Raw genomic sequence first — 13,827 nt, forward strand, 5'->3', positions numbered from 1 at the left:
CTCCCAAAAAGTGCTGGCATTACAGGCACACGCCTCCACGCCCAGCTAATTTTTGTGTTTTTTAGCAGAGACTGGGTTTCACCACGTTGGCCAGGCTGGTCTGGAACTCCTGACCTCAAGTGATCTGCCCGCCTCAGCCTCCCAAAGTGCTGGGATTACAGGCATGAGTCACCGTGCCTGGCCTGAACCCCTACTTTAATAGCAAGCTTGGTCCCAAGTTTTAAGCTATGATTGGTTTAATGCCAAATACCTAGAGGCTGACTGCCAAAACCTCAAAGCGATTCACCTAAAGACAGTTCAAACAGGAACTTAGTACACAGGAATGAACTGCTGTCATTCAAGTAGCCACTGTGTATGTTACCTTTATCATTAACTTCTTCTTGCCCTTGCACATTGAATGAAAAGGGCAAGCACTATTTGGTCTCTTGATCTTTATTAAAAATCCTGAATGTAGAGGTTCATAGTTCTAATAATAATTGACGTTTCCCCCAACTCTACTGTTCACATAAAACCACATAACTGTGATCTAGTTATTTATTATTCAGCATCCCTAACTTCCTATAGGGTTCTTATTTTTGTTTCCTAAGGTTGTCGTATACATTATACAAAAGACTTGCATGCCATATGCAAGCAGATGACGTTTGTGAATCCCTTATGTGACAGAGCTTATTAGATCCATCCAACAAACCTTTTGGTAGATGGTTCCAGTACCTGATACAAAAATAAAAGGATTGTACAAAAAAGGGCATGGTTTTTGCTTGTTACAACACAGGTAATTACAAACGACAAATCCTTCAAAAGGGAAGATGACAACTTTTATTGTTATTACAAAAGCAAATTTAATTTGTCATTTGAATAATTGCAAGAGCAGACTAAGGGCTTAATCCTCACACAGGCACCAAGTCAGGCACAGTAGGTAGCTACAAATCGTAAGAAAAAGCTTTCTTTCCTACCTAGAGCACTCTTCCATGCTTTGGAATTAGGCTAAAAAACTCAACAAACCTGATCAGTTCCCTTTAATCCTGTTTTTTTTTTTTTTTTTTAAATGAGATCTAGGTATTAACCTGCTGTCTAGCGAAAACTAGTCACTAAGTCCTGGCCTGAGAGATACCCACATTTCCTTTAGAACAAACAGAACTAATACCTGTGTACATTTCTGAGAGCCTGATGTGTGAGTCCTTAAAATGTAGACCTTGCAGGAGGCTTAGACCTCAGTTTCACCTAATGCATGTGGAGGAAATGGAGGTGAGAATAGTCACCTGAAGAGTGCAAGCGCTCCAGCTCCAGCACACACACTCTTCCCTGGGCAGCAGGAAAAGGAGGTAACAAGGACTTGGGCTGACATCTGAAGCACTAAGCTAATGTGCCTGGTAGAGGGGAGCCTCAGGAAGCACAAGATGTCATTCCACCTGTGCTGTCCACAAACCTGAGGTTTCCACATCGTTTTAAAGGGCACAGTGGCAAATGTGACAAGGCAGAAAACAATAACCATTTCAAGGATCACTTAAGGAATCCTGGTGTTTTCTGCCTAATCAGAAGTAGTACCAACCTGCTTTTCCCTTATATTGGAGAACATAAAGGTTTTAATTAATCTCCACTCCCACACCTTCAGGCCCTTATAATAATCCTTAGTAAACAACTCAGCTAGCATTATTGTTTCAAGGAAGCATAGGATTAGAGGTATGTGAGAAGTGTATTTATTGAAGGGAAGACTCAGTAAGTTCTAGGATATTAAAGTCAAGAATATCCTAGAGCCAAAAACCACCAAAAGTTGAACCAAATCTACCTGAACTGAACTGATAGTAAACTGGGTCAAATGGAATCCACGGAATTACTACTGGAAAATAAAAACACTTCCTATTCTTTCTATTCCTATTCATTTACTATGAAACCTAATCTAACCAACTGACTGCTAAATGTAAAGCTAGTTAAGTCTTTTGTGCATGTGCAATTACACTTACTTAACAAGATGCTGCCATGGCGAGATCTCTCACGAAAGAAACAAGATCAAGGATGTACTAGATGGCATCTGCTAGAATCACTGAAAAAGTTAGCTGCAAGAAATAAAAGCCTATTATTTGGAGATAGATAATTGTCCCCTGAATCCACTGGTTGTTCTCTTCCTTACCTATGTCTGTGAAAGGATTAATGGCACAGTTTGATAAGGTAAGCCAACAATGAATATAACATTTAACCATCCTAAAATCAGAGCTATAGTGCTATAACCACATTTTTCACAAAGGGTTTTAAAGTTGAAAGTTGCCTGATGTTAAGACCTGTAATAAAACTGCGTATTTTCCCCTTGACTACCTTAAATCCCTACCCAAAGCAATGAAGCTATCATCCATGAAGTAGCAGTCCATGAGGAAGTCCATGCCAGTAAGAAAAGGTGCTAGAGTGCTGTTATGTGTAATAGTCATCAAAGATCACGGAGTAATTCCAGTCATTACTAGTGTTCCTGCAGATCGCCAAGGGAGCTTAGCTGATTTTTTTCCAGGTTCATCTTGGGAGCAGTTTTTGATCATAGGTTCAACTTTTTTCTTGGGTTGCAAAACTGCATCTGGCTGCAAGTCTAACCCAAAATATTCGCAGCGTATCAGCTGAGAGGATGCCGGCAACTGTTGAACTACATCACAGTTCAAAGTCCCATATTGTGAGAGCAGTACTTGTAGTTTATGTAACCAGCAAATATGAGTTACCTCGTTACAGTGAACAACCTGCACTGTTAGAGTTTAGGAACTTTTGACATTCGGTTATCACATATTTCAAAGATTTTCAACTCACAAAAAAAAAATACATGGGCTTAATTACTCAGTAACACTTTACTATTTGTCACTTAATCTCAAGACAATACACACTCAGTCCAACTCTTTTGGTTTGATTTTACATAGATTTTCACTTACTTCTGCAAATTAAAAACAAGAAATGAGTGCTGTATTTCCCCCTCTCCCACAGTAAGAAACAAGGGTTTAAAATGGCAATTACTTAGATGTTTATTTCAATATTTCTTAAATTCACTTTATTAATTTAAAAAACTAAATAATCGCATGAAAGTTATATAAAGAACATCATTAATGTGAAAAGATGCAAGAAAAAAATCATTCTAGTAGAGCAACGTTAGAGAACAAATGCTTAGGTAATACCCTAAATATGCAGCCAACTACCCTATTTTTGCACTGTTGACCATATAAGCACGTTTGCATTTGCAGAAAACAGAATGACAGCATAGGAATTTGTATTGCTCTATAACGGTCCAACATCTCCACATAATGCCAAGTTCACCTTAGACATTTTATTTACTTATCCAAATGAACAGCCTGTGTAAGCAGGATTGAAAATGCATCAACTTTAAAAAGATGAGAACAATTTTCAAAGCCCATAGAACTTATGTTGCTGGTTAATTTTAGCACTGAAATTTCTTTTGAATAATCTAATCTTGCAAATATGCAAGAATCCAGTGGAATTTTTACAGTTACATTTGTATTTGTATGACCTGTTACTTTTTAGAGGTAGGCCCTTCACAGTTGATATCCAAGTTACTTAAGAGTCTTGGCAACATGCACATAATAGTCTAACAGTGTAAATGTTTTAGTAGCAAACATAACTTATTTTTTAAAAATGTGTTCTATTTAGAAAGGGAACTCTTATCTCTGGAAGTGATTTCCGTGGCTCTTGAACTTTTAAATATTCATTAAAATTCAAGCAATTGCTAGTATTTGTTTTTATTAACATGGAATTACAAAAAGAACTATTATGTTTTGATTAAAGCTCCTATATTTTCCAGAAAAATAAAAGCCCAGAGATTTGCAGACATAATAAAATCTATTTAAATTTCATGCAATAGCCATAATTATAGTTTTAAGAATCTGTAGGACAATAACTTTGCTCTGTCCATAAGATGTAGCCTCATTCAAGAAATGAATGGGAATTTCACAGTTAAGAAAACACTAGGCCAAGTGCGGCGCCTCATGCCTGTAATCCCAGCACTTTTGAGAGGCTGAGGCGAGTGGATCACTTGAGGTCAGAAGTTTGAGACCAGCCTGACCAATAGGGGGAAACCTCGTCTCCACTAAAGATACAAAAATTAACTGGGCCTCGTGGAGGGCTCCTGTAATCCCAGCTACTCAAGAGGCTGAGGCAGGAAATTGCTTGAATCCGGGAGGTGGAGGCTGCAGTGAGCTGAGATCGAGCCACTGCACTCCAGCCTAGGTGACAGAGTGAGCCTCTGTCTCAAAACAAAACAAAACACCCATTAGATTAAGTTTTATGTTCTGTGACTGGAAATACAGTCTGTCTAGGCTTTTCTTTTCTGAGGAGCAAAATTATAGGGAAGAGACTTGTCATTAAATATACAAAGTATCTTATTTAGAGAGAAATCACAATCTAAAAGAGGCTATCTTTGATCAATGGCAACACTCAACATCAAGGGGGCTTTGGATAAACCCACAAATTGCCTCCATTCCTCATTTATTCTCATGAAAAATTTCAAAGTCATGATAATTATAGCAGAGAGTCATTCAATCTAAAACCCACACAATGCTGCACTGTGGTTCATCAAAAACATGGTTAGCAAATTTCAGCTTTACACTTAAGAAAACTCAGTCAATTTCAAATAATTGAGATAAAACTTATACCCTGCTTGATTCTGCTTATCGCTGATAATTTTAGTCTGTTCAGATTCTGATGATTCTAAATATTTTCATTTAGTTGCTAGGTTGAGATTTAGCTTTAACCAGCAAGGATCATCCAACCTTTAAAGTTACTGATACAAAGAGTAAACTGAGTAACTTGTAGAAGTGGCACTTGCAACTGATACGGTTTTCATACTAGAGGCATGCAGCTCTATTTATAAATACTACCAGAGGAATTTTTGCCAGGTCTCAAACATGCTTTATTTGTTGTTAATTCCACTAATTTAACAAGTTAATGGAATTTTCTCTAGGGGTACAATTTCATTACGCTTTACTTATAAAAACTACAGTATGCTGTTCTTTTATTTTAAAACAACTTACTGTGTTCAAGAAATCATGTTACAATATAAATTGGCAAAAAAAAAAAAAATAAATAAATAACTAAAAGACCTAGTAAAGCAGTGTCACATTTGCATAAAGGGATTTAACTGCATGTATGCATTAACCATCAAAAGAAGGGGTCAAACTAATCCTTTCCTTTAATACAAACTTGAACGCTGTGAATGTCTCATTTATAGTGGGTAGGGAAAGAGTTTATAAAAGTCCAAGTAATAAAATGTATTCAATTACTTGGGAAAGTTAAAAAGCTAATGCAACAATGTTACATCCAGATAAAAAACATTATTCAAAAGCAATTCAAATACCGAAAAGGATTTCAAATTGAATATTTTATTAACATGGTAGTTGCCTTTGTAACATGTGCACACACACTCGCACACTCAGAATGATCTGCCTGGGGGAAAAATACTAAATATGCCTAAGGGGAAAATGAAAAATAAAAAAATTCCTGTAGGTTTTCATTATTGTAGGCAATTATGTCCACATCACTTACAAAGCTATTGCCAAATCTGTCCAAGGAAGCAGAGTTTGAAGTGAGGGCTAGGGACAGGAATCTTGGGAAAAATTCAACAGTGGCATAGCAGAGCTCTCAATATGAGAAAGCTGACATAATGTGGACTTTTGCTGTGAATTTCCTCTTTGCAAAATATGGGGAGAGGTTTATCAATGGGCAGAAAATAAGAGAAGGCGGTGTGAAGTAGGCTTCTGCAGTCAATTTTCCTCACAGTATTGTGCAGGGTCATCAAGAAAATGCTTAGTCTTTCTCTGGAACCAGTTTCAGAACTTTTCCAATTGCAATGGTCTTACCTAGAAATGAAATTTTAAAAAAATCTTTCAGTAGTTAACAGCAAGTCTATATAAGATATTAAAACTTATTATTTTAAATCACAAAAATATTTTTTACAATGTAAGTTACTAATTAACTAGCTTTACTGCCAAACCCATGATACTTCTATTTAGGTAGTCTTAATAAGAGGGTCTTATTTGGGGGGGCTGGTAAAGAGATGGTTCCCTGTATCAAAAACCTATCTCCCCCCGTACCCCCCAAACAATTCTCCTGCCTCATCCTCCCCAGTAGCTGAGATACAGATGCCTGCCACCACGCCCAGCTAATTTTTGTATTTTTAGTTGAGACGGGATTTCACCATGTTGGCCAGGCTGGTCTTGAACTCCTGACCTCAGGTGATCCACCCGCCTCAGCCTCCCAAAGTGCTGGGATTACAGGCATGAGCCACTGCATAAAGACAGAGTCTTACTCTGTCACCCAGGCTGGAGTGCAGTGGTGCGACTTCAGCTGACTGCAACCTCCTCCTTCTGGGTTCAAGTGATTCTCCTGCCTCAGCCTCCTGAGTAGCTGGGAGTATAGGTGCTTGCCACCATGCCCATTCTAATTTTTATATTTTTAGTAGAGGCAGGGTTTCACCATGTTGGCCAGGCTGGTCTTGAACTCTTGGCCTCAGGTGATCCGCCTGCCTCGGCCTCCCAAAGTGCTGGGATTACAGGGGTGAGCCACCACACTGGGCCAAAAAACCTCTTTGGATTAAAAATAAGAAAAGGGAATATCCGTATTTGTGGAATATCCACCCAGTGGAGTACTATTCAGTGATACAAAGGAATAAATAACATGTTACATGGTTGAACCTCAAAATCACACTAAGTAAAATAAACTAGACAAAGGACCACATAATTTATAATTCTATTTATGGAGTGTCTATAAAAGACAAATTGAAAAATGGTTGCCTGGGGTGGAGGTGGGAATAAGGGGTGATTATGAACAGGTGTAAGGTTTCTTTTTAGGTGTTCTAAATGTTCTAATATTAGTATATGGTGATGGTTGTACAATTCTGTAAACATACTAAAATTCATTGAATTACATACTTAAAACAGGTCAATTTCATATTATGGAAATTGTATCTCAATAAAGCTGCTAAAAAAAAAAATCCCAAAACCTATCCTTAAGTAACTGTGAAAAGGCACAGCAATCACCACTGACTACAGTGCAGTGAACACGTCCTTCTGGTAGTAATCCTGTGGACTGAAAGGATACAAAACCCATTGGGTCTTGTGGAAAACCTAAAAGCCAAGTTAGCTTTTTTTTTTTTTTTTTTTTTTTTTTTTTTAAAGCCAAGTTAGCTTTTAGGAAAAAATAATTCTAGGGTTAAGAATTCCTGCTACATTAATTGCTTTTCTTCTGTCTTCCTGATTTTATCAGGTTCTGAGTGGTAAACTAAAACTATCATTTTGTTATATTAATAAGATAAACCCAATAACCAGTTTTACTATCAACCAGAAGAGTTCTGGGCCTTTAAAGTAAAATAAACACTGTCTTTATACAATTTCATCCAATGTAAAGTTCAGGAACTGTATTCATCACCAGGGCTTAGCACAGTTCCTGACACTTTGTAGATACAAAGTAGTTTTTGCTAAATGGAATTGGAATGAACATGTGAAATGACTATTCTGTATTTCAATGGAACTATAAAGTTTTATGTAAAGTCTTCTATAGTCTTAAAATGGTTATCTAAGTTAGAAATATTAACAGCTGGGCCGGGCACGGTGGCTCACGCCTGTAATCCCAGCACTTTGGGAGGCCAAGGCGGGCGGATCACGAGGTCAGGAGATCAAGACCATCCTGGCTAACGTGGTGAAACCCCGTCTCTACAAAAATACAAAAAATTAGCCAGGCATGGTGGCAGCACCTATAGTCCCAGCTACTCGGGAGGCTGAGGCAGGAGAATGGCGTGAACCTGGGAGGTGGAGCTTGCAGTGAGCCAAGATGGTGCCACTGCACTCCAGCCTGGGTGACAGATCGAGACTCCATCTCAAAAAAAGGAAAGGAAAGGGAAGAGGAAAGGGAAAGGGAAAGGGAAAGGAAAAGGACAGGAATATTAAAAGCTCATAAGGAAACGTTTCATAACAATCATTTTGTTTTTATGCCAAAGAACTTCATGACCCCAAGATGGGAATGTTAGTTGTTCTGCGTCACCCAGAGGTAGGCAGAAATGGATGCACACAAAAGGTCACAAAGATTAGACCTCTGAAAAATTAGGTGTAAAAAAAAAAATCAATCTCTATGTTCCTTTTAATCGCTAGACATATTACAAAGGATTACATCATAGAAATATCTTAGTAAACAAAATAGCCCTCCAAATCCACTACTCACAAAACATCAAAATTAAGATTCTTCACGTAGAGCATTACTAGATTTGGCATTACTACTAAAGCACGTGGTCAATTCTGTTCAATACATTCAACTCATAAAACACTCATACGAATAAGAATGTGAATCGAAGTTTTCTGTGAACCTGTTGCAATGTGTACTGTACTGAGATGATGAAGATGACCAAAGCTAGGTATCCTGGATATACTACTAGACGTCAGTTTAAAAGCTCTTACCCTCATCTCTTAAGGTGAAACGACCCATCTGAGGGAAGTCTTTAAAGGTCTCAAGGCAGATGGTTCCTGCTGTCCTTAAGCGAGCAATGCATACTTGATCTTGTTTGACAAAACGGGGTCGGGTCTTACTTTTTTCTCCTGATTTTTTGTCTACCAAGCAGATTAAGGCCTAACCAAGAAAAGAGTATGAGAAAATCAGAATAATGCCAAATAAAATAATCTTTAAGAACAGGTGTAGAAATAAAAGTGCATCACTGTTGCTGATTAGAAATTATGAAGATAAAACAGTATTAAAACAGAAATAAACCAATTATCTTAAACTCACTGTTATTTCCACCTCCTCAATACAGGTATGAATATGCAGCACCGCATTATAGCCTGGGCAGATGATGGATTTGTGCTCTATAATCACTATCTGTCAAACAAACACACACATTCTTATCTTTAGCCTTAGGGTAAATAAGAATTCAATGTTCTCAAGCGCCATATAAATCCCAAGAATTAGTGTTACCATCTCACTAGGACATCAACTTAAGTGATTTTTGTGTTAGAGGTGATAGGTTTGTCTTACTAATTTTGTTCACAGGATGGGTCAGGCTGCTTGAACTCAAAGCATGAATTTCAGTATCTTATCCTGTATTTATCTTCTTGGCAAGTCCCTGGTCAACTTTCAAAATACGGCAGGCTGGCTGGGCGCAGTGGTTCACGCCTGTAATCTCAGCACTTTGGGAGGCCGAGGCGGCAGGGGGGCCGGGGGGATCACCTGAGGCCAGGAGTTCAGGACCAGCCTGGACAACATGGTGAAACCCTGTCTCTACTAAAAATACAAAACAATCAGCCAGGCGTGGTGGTGGGCGCCTAAATCCCAGCTACTCAGGAGGCTGAGGCAGGACAATCGCTTGAATCCCGGAGGTGGAGGTTGCAGTGAGCCAAGATCGCGCCACTGCACTCCAGCCTGGGTGACAGAGCAAGACCCCATCTCCAAACAAAACAAAAGACAGCAGGCCAACTTTCTTATCTGGGAAGACTTTCCTTATATTCCCCAAGGAACTAAGCTAATTTTTACCGCTCAGAAGCTACCTAGATGTAAACTTATCCAGCTTTATCCATTTCTCAATATCCAAGGTCCAGTAAAGTAAACAACCTTACATCTGGCATCAAAATCTAACTTGATTAGTTGTCATACCTTAGAAAAGAACTTTAAAAAATTCTGTTATTCACACCAGTCACTTACTCTGTCATTCTCCCAGGGAGGTTAGATTGTTAATAACAGGGAAACCTGTGTGATTTCTTGTCTGGAAAGCTATGTGCTGTCAATGAGCACATAAACCATGACTTCCACAGTAACTGTGCTCTGGTCAAAGTGAATATTAGATACTGTAGAATGTATCATCAGGAGATCAAACATAAAAAGGAACTTACAAAGAATACTCCTTATCCAGTAAGCACTTGTACCAGCTTGAAGACCTTGTATGAGGTGCCTATTGTGGTTATGATATATAAGTGGCTTATAATATTTCCATTCCCCTTCTCTACACTAAGATGGGTTAACTGGCATGTCACAAATAATCAGGACAAAAGGCACTGATATTCTAATTTCATTTAGACATTAAAACCCACTATGACAACAACAATAATTTGTTTACCTGGGCATCAAATGTGCGTCCAGAATGACAAAGATTATTAGGATCACAAAGTATAAACCCTGGAAGAATCTCCTCTTCTTCAATTCCTTTCAGTCTGATTTTGAGGTTTTCACCTGGGGCTACGGTATCAGTCTCTACATCATCGGAAAGTATTCCAAGAACTTCCACGTTGTGCTTTAAAAGAAAACAAGACTGGAGGTTTTCTGACACATTCACTGCATTACGCAACATAAAATGATCTGAATGTCTGTCTGCTCAATAAAGAGTTGCAAGATTTGACTGTAAACACTTATGTTTGTATGACATAAAATCTTAGCCTAGATATGATCAGCAAAAATCATATCCTAGAAGTATAACTGCCAATTAAAGTATTAACGTGTCACCTTTTAAATATCACATTCTAATCATTTCCAACTAGAACACTGTATACACTAGCATTTGCCTTTTTTTACCTTTTCAAAATCGAAAACACAATTTAATATTTGGATTTCAGTTTTATGGATATAATTTTTATTATTATGGAATTCTATGAAGGATTTAATAAACCTGTCTTCTATTACCTATCAATCTCCAAATATCGGAATTATGCACTACTTAAAAATTATTGAACTAAGCTTTAAAAGTCTATCAACTATTTAATGAATACATCATTTCCTTTTGGTGTAATGAAATGGTCTGGAATTAGATAGTGATGATGGCTGCATAGCATTGTTATTTTTTTATTTTGAGACAGAGTTTTGCTCTTGTTGCCCAGGCTGGAGTGCAGTGGTGCGATCTTGGCTCACTGCAACCTCTGCCTCCTGGGTTCAAGCCATTCTCCTGCCTCAGCCTCCCAAGTAGCTGGGATTACAGGCACCCACCACCATGCCTGGCTAATTTTTTGTATTTTTAGTAGAGACGAGGTTTCACCATGTTGGCCAGGCTGGTCTCAAACTCCTGACCTCAGGTGATCCACCCACCTTGGCCTCCCAAAGTGCTCAGATTACAGGCGTGAGCCACTGTGCCCGGCCTAAACTCTTTGTTTCTAACAAAATAGTCCACGGAGCTGGGTAGTCCACATGCCTTTAGCCCCGCTACTTGGAAGGCTGAGGCATGAGGACTGCTTGAGCCCAGGTGTTTTAAGGCTGCAGTGAGCTATGATCACACTACCGCACTGTAGCCTGAGTGACACAGCGAGACCCTGTCTTTAAAAAAAAAAAAAAAAAAAGTTTTTAATGTAAAAATAAAATAGTTATGGAGCCTCCAGTTCTGATGCCAGTATTGCTCCTCAGTACTGCCAGTGCTGGCTGTGGCAGCAAGGTGAAGCAAAAGAACAAGTGACCTGAGAGGAGATACACGGGAAATTTACCATCAGTGACATTTACTACATCAATAATGCTATGCAGGCCAGGTGCAGTGGCTCACGCCTCAGCATTTTGGGAGGCCGAGGCGGGTGATCACCTGAGATCAGGAGTTTGAGACCAGCCTGGCCAACATGGTGAAACCCTGTCTCTACTAAAAATACAAAAGAAAAAAAACAATTAGCTTGGCGTGGTGGCAGGCACCTGTAATCCCAGCTACTCAGGAGGCTTGGGCAGGAGAATCGCTTGAACCCAGGAGGCAGAGGATGCAGTGAGCCGAGATCGTGCCACTATACTCCAGCCTGGGCAATAAGAGCGAAACTCCATCTCCAAAAAATAAAAAATAATAATAATAATAATAAAAAAAAGGCCGGGCACAGTGGCTCACACCTGTAATCCCAGCACTTTGGGAGGCCAAGGTGGGTGGATCACAAGGTCAGGAGTTCAAGGCCAGCCTAGCCAAGATGGTGAAACCCTGTCTCGACTAAAAATACAAAAATTAGCCAGGCGTGGTGGCAGGCACCTGTAATCCCAGCTACTCGGGAGGCTGAGGCAGAGAACTGCTTGAACCCTGGAGGTGGAGGTTGCAGTGAGCTGAGATGGCGCCACTGTACTCCAGCCTGGGCCACAGAAGGAGACTCCGTCTCAAAAAAAAAAGAAAGAAACAAGAGTTTAGAAGTCACTCACCTAAAAAACAATCTGTATCGGCTGGGCGCAGTGGCTCACGCCTGTAACCCCAGCACTTTGGGAGGCCAAGGCAGGTGGATCACGAGGTCAGAAGTTCAAGACCAGCCTGGCCAACACGGTGAAATCCTGTCTCCATTAAAAATACAAAAATGAGCTGGGCATGGTGGCACGTTCCTGTAATCCCAGCTACTTGGGAGGCTGAGGCAGGAGCATTGCTTGAACCGGGACCTGGGAGGTGGAGGTCGCAGTGAGCCGAGATCACACCACTGCACTCCAGCCTGGGCTACAGAGCGAGACTCCGTCTCAAAAAAAAAAAAAAAAACAAAACAAAAAACAAAAAACAATCTGTATCTCAGAACAGTTTCATAAAATATCAAAGTAAAAAATAACCAATTTTTAATTTAACCCATTAATTACTTACTGTGGTAAAATACATGTAACAAAATTTACCATCATAACCATTTTAGGTGTACATTTCAATAGTACACCTAAATTAAATACATTTAAAATATTGTACAACCAATATTCAGAACTCTGAAATCTTGTTATCTTGCAAAACTGAAACTCCCCGTTCACCCGAACCCTGGCAACCACCATCCTACTTTCAGGTGACAAATGTGACTATTCCAGGTACCTCATTTAAGTAGAATCATACGGTATTTGTCTTTTTGTGACTGTTTTATTTCACATAGCATAATGTCCTCAAGGTTCATTCATGTTGTGGCCTGTGTCAGAACTTCCTTTTTAAGGCTGTGCAATATTCTATTACGTGTATGTAACACGCTTTCTTTATCCATCATCCTTTATGGACACCAGGGTTGCTTCCACCTTCTGGCTACTGTGAATAATACATGTATGAACATGTTTATACAGATATCTGAGACTCTTTTGGGTATATACTCAGAAAGAGTATTGCTGGATTATGTGGGAAATCTATGTTTAATTTTTTGAGGAACTGCTATATTTTTTCACGGCACTTGGCACAATTTTACATGACCAACAGTGCACAAGGGTTCCAAATTCTCCACATCCTTGCCAACACGTGTTACTCTGCTTTCCAAAAAAAAGTTTTTAATTGAGATGGGATCTCACACATAGTGAGAGACCCAGCCTGGTCTCAAAACTCAAGTGATCCTCCTGCCTCAGCTTTTCCGAAAGTGCAGGGATTATAGGCATAAGCCACCATGTCCAGCCCTGTGGATTTGATTTTTATTTCCCTAATAGTTAGCAGTGCTAGGCATTTCTTCATGTACTTTTTGGCTGTTTGTACATCTTCTCTGGAAAAATGTCTATTGCAGTCCTTTGCCCATTTTTGAATTGGGTTGTTCAGGTTTTCTGTTGACTTGTAGGAGTTCTTCATATATTCTAGATATTAACCCCATATTTAGATACATGATTGGCAAATGTTTTCTCTCATTCCGTAGGTTGCCAACCCCATGAATTTTTTATTGTAAAAGTCTGGCCTCTTTTTTATTTGATATTTGAGACGGAGTCTCGCACTGTCGCCTGTGCTGGTGTGCAGTGGCGTGATCTCAGCTCACTGCAACCTCCGCCTCCCGGGTTCAAGCGATTCTCCTGTCTCAGCCTCCTGGGTAGCTAGGATTACAGGCACCCGCTGACACACTTGGCTAATTTTTTGTATTTTTAGTAGAGACGGGGTTTCACTATGTTGGCCAAGCTGGTCTCGAACTCCTGACCTCGTGATCCACCCACCTTGGCCTCCCAAAG

General features: G+C 39.5%; 1 protein-coding gene across 6 annotated transcripts in view; it reads right to left on the reverse strand.

The window, feature by feature from the left end:
* Nucleotides 1–793: 793 nt before the first annotated feature.
* Nucleotides 794–13,827, reverse strand: part of GSPT1 (G1 to S phase transition 1) — a 48,527-nt gene continuing 35,493 nt past the window's right edge. For all 6 annotated transcript variants that reach the window (NM_001130007.2, NM_001130006.2, NM_002094.4 and 3 more), the window contains exons 12-15: nucleotides 10,073–10,246; nucleotides 8,752–8,841; nucleotides 8,427–8,595; nucleotides 794–5,837 (exon numbers count right to left, since the gene is read on the reverse strand). In NM_001130007.2, the coding sequence (NP_001123479.1) occupies nucleotides 5,785–5,837; nucleotides 8,427–8,595; nucleotides 8,752–8,841; nucleotides 10,073–10,246 (486 nt within the window). In that variant the 3' untranslated portion in view covers nucleotides 794–5,784. The remainder of the gene's footprint in view (nucleotides 5,838–8,426; nucleotides 8,596–8,751; nucleotides 8,842–10,072; nucleotides 10,247–13,827) is intronic.

The sequence above is a fragment of the Homo sapiens genome, chromosome 16, assembly GCF_000001405.40.
Source record: "Homo sapiens chromosome 16, GRCh38.p14 Primary Assembly".
In the NCBI taxonomy this organism is placed as follows: Eukaryota; Metazoa; Chordata; class Mammalia; order Primates; family Hominidae; genus Homo; species Homo sapiens.